The sequence below is a fragment of the Homo sapiens genome, chromosome 6 (genome assembly GCF_000001405.40).
Source record: "Homo sapiens chromosome 6, GRCh38.p14 Primary Assembly".
NCBI lineage: Eukaryota > Metazoa > Chordata > Mammalia > Primates > Hominidae > Homo > Homo sapiens.
In genome coordinates this window covers 109,548,072-109,568,965 of record NC_000006.12, presented here as the reverse complement: position 1 = coordinate 109,568,965, position 20,894 = coordinate 109,548,072, and the positions used below count along the sequence as shown (strand labels likewise).

Below are 20,894 nucleotides of genomic sequence, written 5' to 3'. Positions count from 1 at the left end.
ATACGGGCTCTTTTTTCATTGCATATGAACTTTAAAGTAGTTTTTTCCAATTCTATGAAGAAAGTCATTGGTAGCTTGATGGGGATGGCATTGAATCTATAAATTACTTTGGGCAGTATGGCCATTTTCACAATATTGATTCTTCCTATCCATGAGCATGGAATGTTCTCCCATTTGTTTGAATCCCCTTTTATTTCATTGAACAGTGGTTTGTAGTTCTCCTTGAAGAGGTCCTTCACATCCCTTGTAAGTTGGATTCCTAGGTATTTTATTCTCTTTGAAGCAATTGTGATTGAGAGTTCACTCATGATTTGGCTCTCTGTTTGTCTGTTATTGGTGTATAGGAATGCGTGTGATTTTTGCACATTGATTTTGTATCCTGAGACTTTGCTGAAGTTGTTTATCAGCTTAAGGAGATTTTGGGCTGAGACGATGGGGTTTTCTAAATATACAATCATGTCATTTGCAAACAGGGACAATTTGACTTCCTCTTTTCCTAATTGAATACCCTTTATTTCTTTATCTTGCCTGATTTCCCTGGCCAGAACTTCCAACACTATGTTGAATAGGAGTGGTGAGAGAGGGCATCCCTGTCTTGTGCCAGTTTTCAAAGCGAATGCTTCCAGTTTTTGCCCATTCAGTATGATATTGGCTGTGGGTTTGTCATAGATAGCTCTTTTTATTTTTAGATACGTCTCATCAATAACTAGTTTATTGAGAGTTTTTAGCATGAAGCGCTGTTGAATTTTCTTGAAGGCCTTTTCTGCATTTATTGAGATAACCATGTGGTTTTTGTCTTTTGTTGTGTTTATATGCTGGATTACGTTTATTGATTTGTGTATGTTGAACCAGCCTTGCATCCCAGGGATGAAGCCAACTTGATCGTGGTGGATAAGCTTTTTGATGTGCTGCTGGATTCGGTTTGCCAGTATTTTATTGAGAATTTTTGCATCCATGTTCATCAGGGACATTGGTCTAAAATTCTCTTTTTTTGTTGTGCCTCTGCCAGGCTTTGGTATCAGGATGATGTTGGCCTTATAAAATGAATTAGGGAGGATTCCCTTTTTCTTTTTTTTTTTTTTTATTTTACTTTAAGTTCTAGGGTACATGTGCACAATGTGCAGGTTTGTTACATATGTATACATGTGCCATGTTGGTGTGCTGCACCCATTAACTCGTCATTTGCATTAGGTATATCTCCTAATGCTGTCCCTCCCCCCTCCCCCCACCCCACAACAGGCCCCAGTGTGTGATGTTCCCCTTCCTGTGTCCAAGTGTTCTCATTGTTCAATTCCCACCTATGAGTGAAAACATGCGGTGTTTGGTTTTCTGTCCTTGCGATATTTTGCTGAGAATGATGGTTTCCAGCTTCATCCATGTCCCTACAAAGGACGTGAACTCAGAGGATTCCCTTTTCCCATTGATTGGAATAGTTTCATAAGGAATGGTACCAGCTCCTATTTGTACCTCTGGTAGAATTCAGCCGTGAATCTGTCTGGTCCTAGACTTTTTTTGGTTGGTAGGCTATTAATTTTTGCCTCAATTTCAGAACCTGTTATTGGTCTATTCAGGGATTCAGCTTCTTCCTGGTTTAGTCTTGGGAGGGTGTATGTGTCCAGGAATTTATCCATTTCTTCTAGATTTTCTAGTTTATTTGCGTAGAAGTGTTTATAGTATTCTCTGATGGCAGTTTGTATTTCTGTGGGATTAGTGGTGATATCCCCTTTATCATTTTTTGTTGCATCTATTTAATTCTTCTCTATTTTCTTCTTCATTAGTCTTGCTAGCAGTCTATCAATTTTGTTGATCTTTTCAAAAAACCAGGTCCTGGATTCATTGATTTTTTGAAGGGTTTTTTATGTCTCTATCTCCTTCAGTTCTGCTCTGATCTTAGTTATTTCTTGCTTTCTGCTAGCTTTTGAATTTGTTTGCTCTTGCTTCTCTATTTCTTTTCATTGTGATGATAGGGTGTCAATTTTAGATCTTGCCTGCTTTCTCTTGTGGGCATTTAGTGTTATAACTTTCCCTCTACACACTGCTTTAAATGTGTCCCAGAGATTCTGGTATGTTGTGTCCTTGTTCTCATTGGTTTCAAAGAACATCTTTATTTCTGCCTTCATTTCGTTATGTACCCAGTAGTCATTCAGGAGCAGGTTGTTCAGTTTCCATGTAGTTGAGTGGTTTTGAGTGAGTTTCTTCATCCCTATAGGTGGTTTTTCATCCCTCACTCCCCTCTTACCCTGCTCCCTTCTGAGTCTCCAGTGTCCATTATACCACTCTGTATGCCTTTGCATACACATGGCTTAGCTTCCACTTGTAAGTAAGAACATTCCCAATGCATATGTTAACTCTACTATTGCATTTTAGATTTCCTTGCATTGTTTTCTTATTTCAGTTACCCTTCCTGTATTTCTGCCTTTATTTTAATCTATCTTTATGCCTCGTGATTTTTATTTCATAGACTCAGTTGTTATCTTGTGTTTTTTAGTACTCCAAGCATACATCTTGTAAAATTTACTCTGCTTTATATAAGAAATTGTCTTCAGAAGTAAAATTTTCATCTGAATCTTTGGATCAATACTCTCTTTTGCTTCGTCGATTTTGTTTTTGTTGTTTTTGTGGACTTATTCTTGGATGAAGCAGAATATATCCAACTCTTGCATTTACCAACAGGAAGGGTAGGTAGAGTATTTATAAGAACTCTGTCCCCCTACCCTGACTCCCACACACGTGTACTTTTCACTTAGACTTCTTGCCTGGCATTCTCAGATATAGACCTGTTATATCTGATATAGGTTAATGCAAATCAACCTAGTTCAAGTTGTAATATTTAGTAAGTACTCATCTTGTATGGCTCTTCTAGACTGAGGCTAGATCTTCACCCCCAACTATTGCAGTCTTTGATTAAGCCAGAGAAGCTAAGGCATTGTAGAATTATCTGTATATTCTTGGTGTTCTTTTCTCTTCCATGGTTTGTAATGATTTTCTTAATTGAGCAACCTACAATTAAACATGCCACCACCAGGCCAGTCCCAGGCTTGTCCCCTTCTACTTCCTGCTCTATTGAGTATTAAACATTATAGATCCTGTTGAAAGAGGACCCAAGTATTATTTTAGCTAACTCAGAAGACAGTTTCCACCGTGTTGCAGAATGTGTGTGTGTATATACATACGTATATATGCATATAGATATATGTACTTTTGTCTATGCAAAACTTGTGTTTCAGAACTAGGAGCAGACTAGGATGAAAAGACAGATAATTAGTCCTGCCTTCCCTGAAACTACCTCTGCTGGATCTGTATGTGCAGCATGTCTTACATCCTTCAGGAAAACAGTTTTCAACCTATATCTTCAACCGTGAAATTAGTTGAGAGTCTCTTAAATCTCTCCATGCCTACACCTACAGCTGGGACTTTGCAATATCATCATCTCTCACTGCCAGTTTGTGGTCTTTTTTGGTGTATCTTCTTGAAAAAAAATTTTTTTTTAAAGAGATGGTGTCTTGCTCTGTCACCCAGACTGGTGTGCAGTGGCACGATCATAGCTCCCTGTAACTTGAACTCCTGGGATCAAGTGATCTTCCCACCTCAGCCTCCCATGTAGCTAGGACCACAGGTGTGAGCCACCATGCCTGGCTAATTTTTATTTTTTGTAGGGATGTGGTCTTGCTGTGTTGCCTAGGCTGGTCTTGAACTCCTGGCCTTAAGTGATTCTCCCACCTCTGCCTCCCAAAGGCTAGGATTACAGGCACAATTCACTATGCCTGGCTTCATGGGTATTTTTAATAAGAAATTAAAAGGAATATCAGGCATTGTTAGTCTACTGCCAAATTAAAAGAAGTTTGATTAATATTTAACAAATTATCAGCCAGAATTGTATGTGCCATGTGTCAATTATTATTCTAGTCCATGTCCTTTTATGTGTTTAAGAATATTCTTTATTTTCTGCCTTTTTTATTATGTATTCTTATGCCGTTCTTTCCCTAACAAGAACTTTGCTTTCTATTAGGCATTTCATATACAATTTAAGCTATATTTTGAAATGTTCTTTGTGCCAAAACTTTCATAAAGGAATAATGTTTTCAAATTTAAACACTAACTATTCGATTTCTTTCTTAAGTATCTGAGCCTATCGAGGAAACTACAGTGGAAACAGAAATCCCAAAAGGATCCAAAGAGGGCCTGGAAATTGAAAAATTATCTGAAACAGGTTAGACTGTAAAATGAAAGTAGTTCTTGCATAAAAGTACTTTTCATATTTTCTTACAAAGGGTCCCTAATTTTAGGCATAGTAGGTGCGTCATACTTATTTCTTTCTATGTTGTATGCTAATTGACATACATAAATATTTGGCTTACTCCATTAAAAGTGTATCAAACTAGATTATAACACTGGTTTTTACACAAATTTGTTTTATACATTTTTTATTAACCGTTAAAGTTTCCTTAAGAAACTCATGTTAATTATCCAAAAGCTTGAGTTTTAGTAACAGGTAAATATATATCTACAGCAAATATAAGAACAAAGCATAATTAAATTATGAATTTATGAATGTATATTGTTGCTTAGAATATTATTTTTTTAACTGTTTAAAAAAATTGCAAAGTATAAGCTATTTTGGCAATATGGCTAAAGATAGGATATTTAAAGCCCCTTTTTTCTTTCCTTTGTCTTTTACTCCAAAGTTGTACTACCTGAGTTTCCAGAAGACTCTTATCCTGATGTTCCCGAAATGGAGCCATTTAAAGAGAAGATTGGTTCTTTCATCATCCTCTGGAAACAGCTAGAAGCAACAATTAGTGAGGCTTACATTAAAATTTTAAACTTGGAGATTGCTGACAGAACTCCACAGGAATTACTTCAAAAAGTAGTTGAGACTATGGAAAGTAAGGGCTTTAATCATAACATTTATTATCAACAGCAGGTGATAGTATTAGAAGCATTTTGAAACTTGAAAGCCTTCTTTGATGGTTTATGAAGTAAATGTTCAGTATATCCAAGGCTGATGTATAAAATACTTAGCAACTATCACTGTGCAGGTCCTGACCAATCAGAACAGCTATGTGGCCCAAACACCTCTGGCCATACTGGCCAGTTGTCACGTAAGGAACTTATAAAGGCCTATTTGCATACATATTTAATCTAAGAGACTAATAATAATAATAATCAATTTTCCCAACATTTGACTATAGTAATATGCTAATAACCTTTTTTACTAAAAATATTTTCCCCAATGATTCTCTTTTTCTCCAGAACCATTTCAATATACTGCATGGGAGTTAACTGGGGAAGATTATGAGGAAGAAACAGAAGACTACCAGACTGAAGCAGAGGTTGATGAGGAGCTAGAGGAAGAGGAAGAGGAAGAGGCATGATTCTTTTATTTCTACTCATTCTCATTTGTGAAGTCATTGAAAATATGCAAATAAGAGTGGTAACTATCACTTTTGGACCCCAAGTGAACAGACATTCTCATTTGCACACACATTCTCCCTCTGCCTCAGCTTCACTTGACCCCCCTGAAATTCCAGGCTATGTAGTATGAAAAAAGACTCATGAAAAGATAAAAGGAAACTATTTTGCATGGAAAAAAAGTTTAAGTTTTAAATACATAAATATTGTATAAATTTAGCAGAAGTGGTTGTTGTAAGTAAAAGAGGCTGCTTGCATGATAATAATGTGCAGTGTTCTCAGTTAGGAGTAACCCATATTCAGGCCCCATCCACTCCCTTGGCATCAGAATTTGGACAACCATTCTCATTTGATAGCTGCCCAGTTCAGACATCTATCAGTAATGAAACAGGAAGCAGTTCTTTTCATTTGAAGCTTTATAAGTAAAAAGTAATATTATTAAGTTATATAAACATAGACTTGTGATTAACTGGGTTAAGTTGCCTGACTTAAACCCAAATATATATGTGTCAAACAACAAACAATATGTAGTGTGATTCTGATAACAGCTTTTAGTACTTTATCACTAAGGAACTGGAGAGCCTTTCTTTGGGATGGCTAAAGGATGCGGGTTTTGTCCCACTCAGATTCAGATTCTTTTCTTTCATCATCCATCCTCTGCCATGTCTGCTGTTGTTCTTCTGTGTCCCACTCTGGTGCACCATAAAATGGTCTCTGGTATCCGCAGACAATTATCAGGCCGGCTGTAATACTCAAAGCTTATATTTTAAAGTATAGTCTTCATTAATAATATTAAAAAAAAACCCTCCCAATTCACAGAGCATTGGGTAGGGTACTAACAAGAGCCTAGCCTTAGGAATGGGGAATAACTAGACCTAGCATAAATGAAACTTTGGCCCCCCCATCAAAAAGCAAGAGCCAAAAGGATCAAACTGCTTCCAAGTAATTTAACTGTGTCCAAGAGCAATGCTCAAGAATATTTATGGGAATATAAAGTAAAATTCTAGCAGTCACTGAAGGATTGTGTGACCTGCAAACAGGCAGAAAAATATGACTCACAATGAGGAGAAAAAGTAATCAACTGAAATGGATTCAGAACTGACGAAGGTGTTCTTAGAATTAGATGACAAGGACGGTAAAACAGTTGTTATTCTATATGTTCAAAAAGTTAAACAGAGATATAGAAGATATAATAAATACCTAAGTTGAACTTTTAAGATTGAGAAGTACAATATATGAAATGAAATATACATTAATGGTATGACCATAGTTTAGCCACTGCAAGAGAAATAGCAATAGAAACTATCCGAAATGAAACAACAGAGGAAAAAGATTCTGAAAAAAAATGAGAAGAGCATCAGTGATCTGTGGGACAACTTCAAGCAGCCTATTATACAGAATGCTTGGGACCAGAAGTGTTTCTGATTTTAGACTTTTTCAGATTCTTGAATATTTGCACAATATATACCAGTTGAGCATTTTTAATCTGAAATCCAAAATGCTACAGTAAGCATTTTCTTTGAGTGTCAGATCACTGCTCAAGAAGTTTCAGAGTTTAGAGCATTCCAAATTTCAGATTTGGGGATTAGGGATGCTCAACGTGTACATATAGTTCAGATCTACAAAAAGTATGTGTGAGGGGAATTGAAGAGAAAATGGCCAAGTTTTTTCTAAATTTTGAAAAAAATTACAAACTCTCAGATTCAATATGCCCAATAAATAAATATGCTCAAGCACAAGAAACATGAAGAAAATATTATAATAGCACCAAGTACATCATATTATTCAAATTGCTCAAAACTAGTTTTAAAAATAAAGGAGAAAACATATGCCACATACACAGGAACAAAGATAAGGATAACAGCATATTTCTCATCAAAAACAATGCAAGAAGAGAGTGGAGCAACATCTTTAATGTATTGAAGGGAAAAAAAAATGTCAGCCTGGCACAGTGGCTCATGCCTGTAATCCCAGCACTTTGGGAGGCCAAGGCAGGCACATCACTTCAGCTCAGGAGTTCAAGAACAGCCTGGGCAACATGGCGAAACCCCATCTCTACAAAAAATACAAAAATTAACCAGGCATGGTGGTGCACACCTGTAGTCCTGGCTACTCAGGAGACAGGTGGGAGGATCGCCCGAGCCCAGGAGGTCGAGGCTTCAGTGAGCTGAGATCACACCTCTGCACTCCAGCCTGGGCAACAGAGTGAGACCCTGTCTAAAACAAAACAAAACAAAACATAAAATAAACTGTCAACCTAGGATTCTAAGTCCACTGAAACTCTCTTTTAAAAACGAAGGCAAGCTGGGCATGGTGGCTCACGCCTGTAATCCCAGCACTTTGGGAAGCCGAGGCAGGCGGATCATGAGGTCAGGAGTTCAAGACCAGCCTGACCAACATGGTGAAACCCCGTCTCTACTAAAAATACAAAAATTAGCCAGGTGTGGTCATGCGCACCTGTAATCCCAGCTACTCAGGAGGCTGGGGCAGGAGAATCGCTTGAACCTGGGAGCCGGAGGTTGCAGTGAGATCATGCCATTGCACTCCAGCCTAGGCAACAAAGTGAGACTCTATCTCAAAAAATAAAAATAAAAAAATAAAAACAAAGGCAAACTGAAGACTCTGTTAGACATACAAAAGCTGAAAGAAAGCAGCCAGACACAGGTGGCTTCCCTGATGAATTCTGCCAAATCTTGAAGAAAGAAAGAAAACCAATTCTATACAAACTGTTCCAGAAAATTGAAGAGGAGAGAATACTTCCTAGTCATTCTATGAGATCAGCATTATTCTGATACCAAAACCAAAGACATTAAAAGCAAGGAAAGAAAAACAAACTGCAGTCTAACATCACTCATTAATATAGATATAGACATTCTTAACAAAATTTTAGCAAATCAAATCCAAAAATACACAAAAAGAATAATACACCATGACCAAGTGGGGCTTATCTTGGAAATTCAAGGTTAGTTTAACGTTTGAAAAGCAATCAATGTAATTCATCATATTAACAAACTGAGGGGAAAAACCATGATCACCTCAATAGATATGGAAAAAGCATTTGACAAAATTCAAAATCTATTACTGGTAAGAAAAAAAAATGAAGGGAACTTCCTTAGCTTGATAAAGGGGATCCACAGAAAGTCTCTAACAGCTAATGTCATACTTAAGGGTAAAAGGCTGAATGCTTTTTTCCTAAGATCAGGACAAGGAAAGGATGTTCATTCTCACCACTTCTATTCAACACTATACTGAAGGTTTGGTTACTGCATTCAGACAAGGAAAAGAAATAAAAGGCATTCAGATTGAAAAAGAAAGATGCAACTATCTTTATATGTAGGAGATAAGATTTTCTATTGTGATAGGCTGAATAATGGCACGCCAAAGAAGTTCATGTCCTAAGCTGTGAATTGACACTTGTGAATGTTACCTTATATGGCAAAAAGGATTTTGCAGATATGACTAAATTAAGGATCCTGAGATGAGGGAGTTATCATGGATTATCCACGTGGACCAATGTAATCACAAAGGTCCTTGTAAGAGGAAGACAGGAAGTCAGAGAGAAGGTGCTTTTAAGCCGGCTTTGAAGATAGAGAAAAGGACCATGAGCCAACCCTAGAAGTGGAGAAGCAGGAATGGATTCTCTCCTGAGGCCTCCAGAAAGAATTAACCCTGCCAACAAATTCACAGTAGCCCCATAAAACTCTCTGGGATTCTGATCTCCAAAACTGTAAGAAAATACATGTTTGTTGTTTTAAGCCACTATATTTGTGGTAATTTGTTAAGCAGCATTATGAAATTAATACATCTATGTAGAAAAGCCAATGGAATCAACAAAAAAAGCTACTAATAATTGAATTTAGCAAAGTTTCAGGACATAAAATCAGTATTCAAAAACCAATTTTATTTCTATGTGTAAGCAATAGACAATCAGAAATTGATTTTTAAATGCCTTTCAAAATAGGATCAAGAATATGTAATATGAAGGGATAAATTTAGCAAAAGATCCAGGAACAACACACTAAAAACTACAAAACTGTGCTGAGACAAATTGAACAAAGCCTACATAAATGGACAGATAGATATACCAGGCCGGGCACAGTGGCTCACGCCTGTAATCCCAGCACTTTGGGAGGCCAAGGCGGGCAGATCACGAGGTTAGGAGATCAAGACCATCCTGGCTAACACGGTGAAACCCCATCTCTACTAAAAATACAAAAAATTAGCCAGGCGAGGTGGCAGGCACCTGTAGTCCCAGCTACTCGGGAGGCTGAGGCAGGAGAATGGCATGAACCCGGGAGGCAGAGCCTGCAGTGAGCCGAGATCGTGCCACTGCACTCCGCCTGGGCGACAGAGAGAGACCCCATCTCAAAAAAACAAAAAAAAAAACAGATAGATATACCATGGCTGAGTATGGTGGCTCACGTCTGTAATCCTAGCACTTTGGGAGGCCGAGTCAGGCGGATCACTTGAGGTCAGGAGTTCGAGGCAGCTTAGCCAACATGGCGAACCCCCCCTCTCTATTGAAAATATAAAAATGAGCCGGGCGTGGTGGTGTATGCCTGTAATCCCAGCTGCTGGCAATGCTGAGACACGAAAATCGTTTGATCTTGGGCAGTGAGCCAAGATTGTGCCACCGCACCCCAGCCTAGGCGACAGAGCAAGACTCCATCTCAAAAAAAAAAAAAAGTAAATATACCATGTTCATAGGTCAGAAGACTTAATATTATTATATCAATTCTCCCCAAATTTATCTACAGATTCCATATAATCAAAATTAAAAACCCAGCAGACTGTTTGGTAGAAACTTATAAATTGATCCTAACATTCATTTGAAAATCCAGAGTACTTAAAATAATGAAAACAAATTTTAGAAAGAATAACCAAGTAAGAGAATTAATACATTTGATTTCAAGATTAATTAATTATAAAGTTATAGCTATCAAAATAGTGTCATTGGCACAAAACAGCAAACAGATTAATAGAACACAAGAGAGTCCAGATATAGAGCCACACATATATGGACAATTGATTATTGACAAATCTACAGAGGCAATTTAGTGGAGAAAGGACAGTAGTTTTAATAAATAGTGCTGGAACAATTGGAGATCTATATGCAAAATAATGAACTTTGAACCAAACCTCACATGATATACAAAAACTAACTTAGAATGTATTATAGGCCTAAATGTACATTACAAAACTTCTGGAAGAAACATAAGAGAGAATCTTTGAGACCTTGGATTAGGCAAAAATTTCTTAGACATGACACCAAAAGCAGAATCCATAAAGAAAAAGAATGATAAATTGGCCTTCGTCAAAAGTAAGAACTAAACTATTTTAAAAAAAACACTATTAAGAGAATGAAAAGACAAACTTGGATAAAATATTTACAAATCACATATCTGATGCAAGTCCTTATATCCAGAATAGATAAAGAACTCTTAATACTCAATGAGAAAACAACCCATTTTTTTAATGGGCAAAAGATTTTAACAGACACCAGATACTTCACCAACTAAAATATACAGATGGCTAATAGGTACATGAAAAGATGTTCAACCTCATTAGTCATTAAGGAAGTAAAAATTAAAATCACAATGAGACACTATTAGATAGTGATTAGAATGCCTAAAATCAAAGACTGACCATACCAAGTGTTAGCTAGGATGCAGAATAACTTGAACTCTTATATACTGCTCGTGGGAATATAACTTGGTACAACCACTTTGGAAAACAGTTTGGCAATTTCTTAAACAGATAAATATACACCTACCATAGCACCCAGTCCTTCCACTCCTAGGAATTTATCCCAGAGAAAGGAGAGCACATGCCCATTCAAAGACTTGATGAGTGGTCACAGCAGCTTTATTTGTAATAGCTCCAAATTGGAAACCATTCAGTAATTCATCAACATAGGAGGAGGGGTGACTGCAGTCTCTGCAAACCAGCAGACTTAGCCTCTCCTCTTGGTAGTTCTGAGGAATCCAGGCAGCCCAGATGAGTGGGTTTCCCTTCAGCAAAACATACCCTCTCCACCAAGGGACAAAGTGCTTCTTTAAATGGGTCTGGCTCCCTGTGCCACCCAACTGGGTGAGACCCTCTAACAGGGGTTGTTAGACATTCTATACAGGAGCGATCCTACTGGCATCAGGTTGGTGTTCCTCAAGGTCAAAAGTCCCAGAAGAAGGAGCAGGCACCCATCTTTGCTGCTCTCTAGCCCTCTCGGTAACATCTTCAGGCATGGGGGCAAATCAGATGAGTAGTGTCTGAAGTGAACCCCCAGCAAACTGCAGCAGCCCTACGGAAGAGGGACCTGACTATTGAAAGAAAAACAAACAAGTAGAAAGTGACAACAACAGCATCAACAACAACAAAAAGGCCCCCACAAAAACCCCATCCAAGGGTCAGCAGCCTCAAAGACTGAAACTTGACAAACTCACGAAGATAGAAAGAATCAGTGAGAAAATGCTGAAAACCCAAAAGGTCAGAGTGCATCTTCTCCTCCAAATGATTGCAGTGTTTCTCCACCAAGGGCACAGAACTGGATGGAGGATCAGATGGATGAACTGACAGAGGTAGGATTCAGAAGATAGGTAATAAAAAATTAAGATGAGTTAAAGGAGCATGTTAACCTTGATAAAAGGTTAGAGCAATTGCTAACTAGAATAATCAGTTTAGAGAGGAACATAAATGACCTGATGGAGCTGAAAAACACAGCATGAGAACTTTGTGAAGCATACACAAGTGTCAACGGTTGAATTGACCAAGCAGAAGAAAGGATATTGGAGTTTGAAGAACACCTTACTGAAATAAGACCTGCAGACAACAATAGAGAAAAAAGAATGAAAATGAATGAACAAAGCCTCCAAGAAATATGGGACTTCATAAAAAGACCAAACCTACAATTGATTAGAGTACCAGAAGGAGACAGGGAGAATGGAAACAAGCTGGAAAACACACTTCAGGATATTATCCAGGAGAACTTCCTCAATCTAGCAAGAAAAGCCAACATTCAAATTCAGGAAATACAGAGAACACCATTAAGATACTCCATGAGATCAACCCCAAAACACATAATCATCAGATTCTCCAAGATTGAAATGAAGGAAAAACTGTTAAGGGCAGCCAGAGAGAAAGGTCAGGTAACATACAAGGGGAAGCCCATCAGACTAACAGTGGACCTCTCAGCAGAAACTTTACAAACCATAAGAGACTGGGGGCCAATATTCAACATTCTTAAAGAATTTTCAACCCAGAATTTCATATCCAGCCAAACTAAGCTTCATAAGCAAAGGAGAAATAAAATCCTTTCCAGACAAGCAAATGCTGAGGGATTTCATTACCTCCAGGCCTGCCCTGCAAGAGCTCCTGAAAGAAGCACTAAATATGTACTGGAAAGGAAAAACTGGTACCAGCCACTGCAAAAATACACCAAAATATAAAGACCAATGACACTACAAAGAAACTGCATCAACTAGTGTGCAAAATAAGCAAATAGCATCATGATGACAGGATCAGAGTCACACATATCTATACTAACCTTAAATGTAAATGGGCTAAATGCCCCAATTCAAATGTACAGAATGGCAAGCTAGATAAAGAACCACGATCTATTGGTATGCTGTCTTCAAGAGACTCATCTCACATGCAAAGATACACACAGGCTCAAAATAAAGGGATGGAAGAAAATTTACCAAATAAATGGAAAGCCAAAAAAAGCAGGGGTCACAATCTTAGTCTCTGACCAAACGGACTTGAAACCATTAAAGATCAAAAAAGACAAAGAAGGGGACTATATAATGGTAAAGGGAACAATTCAACAAGAAGAGCTAACTATTCTGAACATATATGCACCCAATACAAGAGCAGCCAGATTCATAAAACAAGTTCTTAGAGACCTACAAAGAGACTTAGAATCCCACACAATAATAGTGGGAGACTTTAACACCCCATTGTCAGTATTAGATCATTGAGACAGAAAATTAATGAGGATATTCAGGACTTGAACTCAACTCTGGATCAAGTGGACCTAGTTGACATCTACAGAACTCGATACCCCAAATCAATAGAATATATATTCTTCTCAGTGCCACATGGCACTTATTTTAAAATCAAACACATAATTGGAAGTAAAACACTCCTCAGCAAATGCAGAAGAACTGAAATCATAACAAACAGTCTCTCAGATCACAGTGCAAGCAAATTAGGACTCAGGATTAAGAGACTCATTCAAAATCACACAATTTCATGGAAATTGAACAACCTGCTCCTGAATGATTGCTGGATAAATAATGAAATAAGGCAGAAATCAAGAAGTTCTTTGAAACCAATGAGAACAAAGAGACAATGTACAAGAATCTCTGGGACACAGCTAAAGCAGTGTTAAGAGGGAAATTTATAGCACTAAATGCCCACATCAGAAAGCTAGAAAGATCTCAAATCGACACCCTAACATCACAATGAAGAGAGCTAGAGAAGCATGAGCAAACTAATCCAAAAGCTAGCAGAAGACAAGAAATAACTAAGATAAGAGAAGAATTGAAGGAGATAGGGACACAAAAGAACCTTCCGAAATACCAATGAATCCAGGAGTTAGTTTTTTAAAAAATTAACAAAACAGATAGACCATTAGCTAGACTACTGAGAGAGAGGAATCAAACAGACACAATAACAAATGACAAAGGGGATATCACCACTGACCCCACAGAAATACAAATTGCTGGGCTGGGTGTGGTGGTTCACGCCTGCACTCCCAGCACTTTGGAAGGCCAAGGCGGGCAGATCACCTGAGGTCAGGAGTTCGAGACAAGCCTGGCTAACATAGCGAAACCCTGTCTGTACTAAAAATACAAAAATTATCTGGGCATGGTGGTGCACGTCTGTAATCCCAGCTACTCGAGAGGCTGAGACAGGAGAATAGCTTGAGCCTGGGAGGTGGAGGTTGCAGTGAGCAGAGATCACACCATTGCACTCCATCCTGGGCTACAGAATGAGACTTTTTCTCCAAAAAAAAAAAAAAAAAAAAAAAGAAAAGAAATACAAACTGCCACCAGGGAATATTAACACCTCTATGCAAATAAACTAGAAAATCTAGAAGAAATGAATAAATTCCTGGACACATACACCCTCCCAAGACTGAATCAGGAAGAAGTTGAATCCCTGAGTAGACCAATAGCAAGTTCTGAAATTGAGGAGGTAATTAATAGCCTACCAACCATAAAAAGCCCAGGATCAGATGCATTCACAGCTGAATTATACCAGAAATACAAAGAGGAGCTGGTACCATTACTTCTGAAACTATTGCAAACAACTGAAAAGGAGAGACTCCTCCCTAATTCATTTTATGAAGCATCAGCCTGATACCAAAACCTGGCAGAGACACAACAAAAAAAGAAAGCTTCAGCCAATATCCCTGATAAACACCAATTCAAAAATCCTCAATAAGATACTGTCAAACAGAATCCAGCAGTGCATCAAAAAAGTTATCCACCATGATCAAGTTGGCTTCATCCCTGGGATGCAAGGCTGGTTCAACATACACAGGTCAATAAACATAATCCATCACATAAACAGAACCAAAGACAAAAACCACATGATTATCTTAATAGATGCAGAAAAGGCCTTTGATAAAATTTAACATCACTTCATGTTAAAAACTCTCAATAAACTAGGTATTGATGGAACATATCTCAAAATAATAAGAGTATTTATGACAAAGCCACAGCGAATATCATATTGAATGGGCAAGAGCTGGAAGCGTTCCCTTTGAAAACCAGTGCAAGACAAGGATACCTTCTCTCACCACTCCCATTCAACATAGTATTGGACGTTCTGGCCAGGACAATCAGGCAAGATAAAGAAATAAAGGGTATTCAAATAGGAAGAGAGGAAGTCAAGTTGTCTCTGCTTGCAGATGACATGATTTTATATCTAGAATACCCCATTATTTCAGCCCAAAAACTTCTTGAACTGATAAGCAACTTCAGCAAAGTCTCAGGATACAAAATCAATGTTCGTAAATCACAGGCATTCCTTTACACCAACAATAGGCAAGCAGAGAGCCAAATCATGAATGAACTTCCATTCACAATCACTACAAAGAGAATAAAATACCTAGGAATACAGCTAACAAGGGATATGAAGGACCTCTTCAAGGAGAACTACAAACCACTGCTCAAGGAAATAAGAGAAGACACAAACAAAGAAAAACTTTCCATCCTCATGGATAGGAAGAATCAATATCATGAAAATGGCCATACTACCCAAAGTAATTTATAGATTCAATGCTATTCCCATCGAACTACCATTGACATTTTCACGGAATTAGAAAAAACTAACTTAAATTTCATATGGAATCAAAGAAGATCCTGTATAGCCAAGACAATTCTAAGCAAAAAGAACAAAGCTAGAGGCATCACGCTACCTGACTTCAAGCTTGCTGCAAGGCTACAGTAACCAAAACAGCATGGTACTGGTACCAAAACAGACATATAGACCAATGGAATAGAACAGAGACCTCAGAAATAATACCATATATCTACAACCATCTGATCTTCAACAAACCTGACAAAAACAAGCAATGAGGAAAGGATCTCCTATTCAGTAAATGGTGCTGGGAAAACTGGCTAGCCGTATGCAGAAAACTGAAACTGGACCCTTTCCTTACACCTTATACAAAAATTAACTCAAGATGGATTAAAGACTTAAATGTATAACCCAAAAGCATAAAAAAACGTAGAAGAAAACCTAGGCAATACCATTCAGGACATAGGCATGGGCAAAGACTTCATGACAAAAATGCCAAAAGCAATTGCAACAAAAGCTACAGTTGACAAATGGGATCTAATTAAACTAAAGAGCTTCTGCACAGCAAAAGAAACTATCATCAGAGTGAACAGGCAACCTGAAGAATGGGAGAAAATTTTTGCAATCTACCCATCTGACAAAAGTCTAATATTCAGAATTTATGTTGAACTTAAACATATTTACAAGAAAAAAACAAACAACCTCATCAAAAAGTAGTCCAAATGTATGAACAGACACTTCTCAAAAGAAGACATTTATGTGGGCAGCAAACATGAAAAAAGCTCAACATCACTGATCATCAGAGAAATGCAAATCAAAACCACACTGAGATACCATCTCACACCAGCCAAAATGGCGATTATTAAAAAGTCAGGAAATGACAGATGCTGGTGAGGCTGTGGAGAAATAGGAATGCTTTTACAGTGTTGGTGGGAGTGCAAATCAGTTCAATTATTTGAAACACAGTGTGGCGATTCCTCAAGGATCTAGAACCAAAATACCAGTTGACTCAGCAATCCCATTAGCACTATGTTTATTGTGTTTATTATAGACACAAGCACACATATGTTTATTGTCGCACTATTTACAATAGAAAAGACATGGAACCAACCCAAATGCCCATCAATGATAGACTGGATAAAGAAAATGTGGTATATATATACCATGGGATGCTCTGCAGCCATAAAAAAGAATGAGATCATGTCCTTTGCAGGGACATGAATGGAGCTGGAAGTCATCATCCTCAGCAAAGTAACACAGGAACAGAAAACCAAAATCACATGTTCGCACTTATAAGTGGGAGTTGAACACTGAAAACACATGGACACCAAGAGGGGAATAACACACACCAGGGCCTGTTGGGGTTAAGAGGAAGGAACGTAGAGGATGGGTCAATAGTTGGAGCAAACCACCATGGCACATGTGTACCTATGTAACAAACCTGCACGTTCTGCACATGTACCCCCCTTTTTTTTTTTGGAAGAAATAAAAAACTGAAAAAAAATTATAAGGACTTGAAAGGATTTTACCCCAAATAAAATCAATTACTAAAATATGGGCTTAGGAAGAAAGATAAAAGCTAAACCAAAATAATAGGTGGGGGAGGCTTTATAGGTCATTTCTTACATACACCTTCATTGATTAGATAAGTCCCTGTATTTTTTGAACATCATAGGAAAAAAATCATTATTTTCCAGCTCGTTTTGAAGCTTGCATTTTTTTTTTTTTTTTGAGATGGAGTCTCACTCTGTCACCCTGGCTGGAGTGCAGTGTGCCATCTCGGCTCACTGCAGCCTCCACCTCTCGGACTCAAGTGATTCTCCTGCCTCAGCCTCCTGAATAGCTGGGATTACAGGCACGCGCCACCATGCCTGGCTAGTTTTTATATTTTCAGTAGAGAAGGGGTTTCACCATGTTGGCCAGGCTGGTCTCAAACTCCTGACCTCATGTGATCCACCCCGCCTCGGCCTCCCAAAGTGCTGGGATTACAGGCATGAGCCCCCGCACGCAGCCAAGGTTTGCATATTCTGATATTAATATCAAGTAAGAATAGTAAAAGGAAAGGTTAGTCTCATTTTTGCACCTTTATAGAAAGTTTGTTGTATCTTGTTTTGTGGAAAGAAGTATGATGTAAATAAGTATGTAAAGTATTCCCTTTGTATTTTTAAAAATACTATATATGTGCCTAAATATATATCTATTTTTATAGGCATATTGGTAGGATTTTTTTAATGAGTCTGGGAGATAAAACTATTAAGAATGCTAACATAGTACTGGAAGAAAAACGGTGAAAAGAGATTTTCACTTTTTATACATTGTGATGTGTTTTGAATATTTTTACAGTAAGCATGTATTTTACATCATAAAAAACATTTTTTAAGTGTATTTCCCTTGCTTTAAATAAATTGAAAGAATCCTTAATGGACTTTGCAATATTTTCTTTATCATAAATGAAAATACATTTTACACTTTCAATTGAGCTAAATAGGATATTTCCAAATTATTATTTGATCATATATCCACTTAATACCAAAGTAAATCCTGAGGCATCTCTCATTTAATTTGCCATGGGTAAGAAGTTGTGACCTTGACTCAGCTTTTACTTTTAGGGAATAATTCTATTTTAGAAACTGACCTCACAATGACCCAGCATCAACACATCCCGGAGTTTTTCATTACATCTCTGTTGGTAGAGGACTGGAGGCACCTTCATTCTCAGTGCTGCTTTATTTTCCTCATGAAAATAAAGAAACTTAGAATGTGCACTTAGAGTAATATATGAGAAACTGATTTTTAATTAATTAAAATAATATAAGGACTGGCTTTTTGTGGATAGTTTTCAAGTTGCTACAGATTAAATATTATTCAAGAAGCATTTTAAAAAATTATCTGCATCAAAATACTTTTTTAGTTTAATGTTCTCCAAACTTTGAATACCGTTTCTAGGGTGAAGATAAAATGAAGGAGAGAAAGAGGCATTTGGGAGACACAAAACACTTTTGTCCGGTGGTCCTCAAAGAAAACTTCATCCTGCAACCAGGAAACACAGAAGAAGCAGCCAAGTATCGAGAAAAGATCTACTACTTTTCAAGTGCTGAGGCTAAAGAAAAGTTTTTGGAGCATCCTGAGGATTATGTGGCTCATGAAGAACCATTGAAGGTGAGACAGTATTCCTATCTTAATGATTGCTCCCACAGGATTTTTTTGGGACTGATTACCAATCACCATCAATTTACTTAAGGGTGAAATCCCCAATCTGATATTACAATATAAAGAAAATATCTAGGCCGGGCGCGGTGGCTCACGCCTGTAATCCCAGCACTTTGGGAGGCCGAGACGGGCGGATCACGAGGTCAGGAGATCGAGACCATCCTGGCTGACACGGTGAAACCCCGTCTCTACTAAAAATACAAAAATTAGCCGGGCATGGTGGCGCGCGCCTGTAGTCCCAGCTACTTGGGAGGCTGAGGCAGGAGAATGGCGTGAACCCGGGAGGCGGAGCTTGCAGTGAGTCGAGATCGCGCCACTGCGCTCCAGCCTGGGCGACAGAGCGAAACTCCGTCTCAAAAAAAAAAAAAAAAAAAGAAAATATCTAAGTTCAAAGAACAACTTTTTGGAATATAACATAAAATAATTATCTATTTTGATTTCTTTAGTAATGACTTGTGTCAAACCAGCACTTAATATCTGCCTTTTTAGCTGAAATAAAAATAAAACAAAACACAAACACAGACAAACCCCACAGATGGATTAATTCCTTACTATAGTGAGGCCAGTCATTCTGGTTAGTCTTTCAGAGCAGAGCAGGATGATGGTCTTTTACAGGATTTTGGAGAAGAGTGGAATTCAGGGATTGGTGAACTTTCAGAGGCATAAGTGGGTTGACATCTATGGAAGTAAGATTACTCTAGTGATGCTGCTGTTGACTGGTTCACACTCAGAGAATTGTTATAGGGGTAAGTCCATCCTGATTGGTTGAGTTTCGAGAGTGAGGGCTGACACTGGTTGGTTGGATTGCAAAAATGTATTCCCTGAAGTGAGTTTACCCTGATTAATTAAACCAATTTAAAATTGTTTGAGTGGCTATTGTTACCATGGCTATACAATAGTCATTTTTTAGTGGAGCATTGTTATAGTGGAGAGGGACACTTTGGTGAATCTTCCCTGGACATTTTTCTGTTACAGCTTTGGCTGACTTTCTCAAAGCACTCTCATCATAAGCAGATGTTATTGCTCTTTGGCCCTCCAGAAGCTTAACAAGGAAAATGCATTGATCCTCAAAAAAATAAAGCTGTTGCCATGACCTTTGTGCTTGACCAGTCCACTTTTGCTTTGACTGGACCACTGCCACCTCTTAGTAGCCATTGCTTTGATTGTGCTTTGTCTTCAGGATCATACTGATAAAGCCATGTTTCATCTCCTCTACAGTTCTTCAAACAAATGCTTCAAGATTCTGATCCCATGTGTTTAAAATTTCCATCGAAAGCTCTGTTTTTGTCAGCAGATGATCTGGGTGCAACAGTTTTGGCAATCATAGAGTAGAAACTTTTTTCAACTTTAATTTTTCAGTCAGAAAAATTGTACACTGAGCCAACCTAGATGTCTAGGTGTTTTGGCTATTGTTTCTGCTGTTAATCATCAGTCCTTGTCAATTAGGCCACAAACAAGACAAATTTTTTCCTCACAAATTTAAGTGGATGGTCTGTTACTGCAGGCTTCATCTTCAACATTGTCTTGTCCTTTTTTCAAACAAATTGTCCATTTGGAAACTGCTGATCTCTTTGGGGCATTGTCCCCGAAACTTTCATAAAGCATCAATGATTTCACCATTCTTCTTCTCAAGCTTCACCATAAATTTGATGTTTATTCCTACTTCAATTTTAGCAGAACTCATGTTGCTCTGATAGGGGCTGTTTTCAAACTGATGTCTTATCTTTCTTAGTGCCTCAAACTAGATCCTGTTCAGATATGTTATAACAAGTTCATATGAGTTTATTTGGTGCAAAAAAAAGTGAATCCATGCATAGTTTTGTCATAATATGCATTTTCTGTCAACTTTTCGAAGACCCCTCATATTTTTAGATTTTTGAGAAAATTCCATACTGTTTTCCATAATGGCTTTCCTACTTTACATTTCCACAACAGTGTACAAGTGTTCCCCTTTCTTCACATCCTCA

At 37.9% G+C, this 20,894-nt stretch overlaps 1 protein-coding gene across 20 annotated transcripts in view; it reads left to right on the top strand.

Moving 5' to 3' along the window:
- AK9 (adenylate kinase 9) overlaps positions 1-20,894 on the top strand; it is a 198,348-nt gene that overhangs the window by 122,237 nt on the left and 55,217 nt on the right. For all 20 annotated transcript variants that reach the window (XR_942337.3, XM_047418304.1, NM_001145128.3 and 17 more), the window contains 4 exons: positions 4,121-4,210; positions 4,686-4,886; positions 5,254-5,369; positions 18,664-18,876. Coding sequence is in view for 19 of the 20 variants with exons in the window: in XM_047418304.1 (XP_047274260.1) it covers positions 4,121-4,210; positions 4,686-4,886; positions 5,254-5,369; positions 18,664-18,876 (620 nt within the window). In the remaining variant the exon portion in view is untranslated. The remainder of the gene's footprint in view (positions 1-4,120; positions 4,211-4,685; positions 4,887-5,253; positions 5,370-18,663; positions 18,877-20,894) is intronic.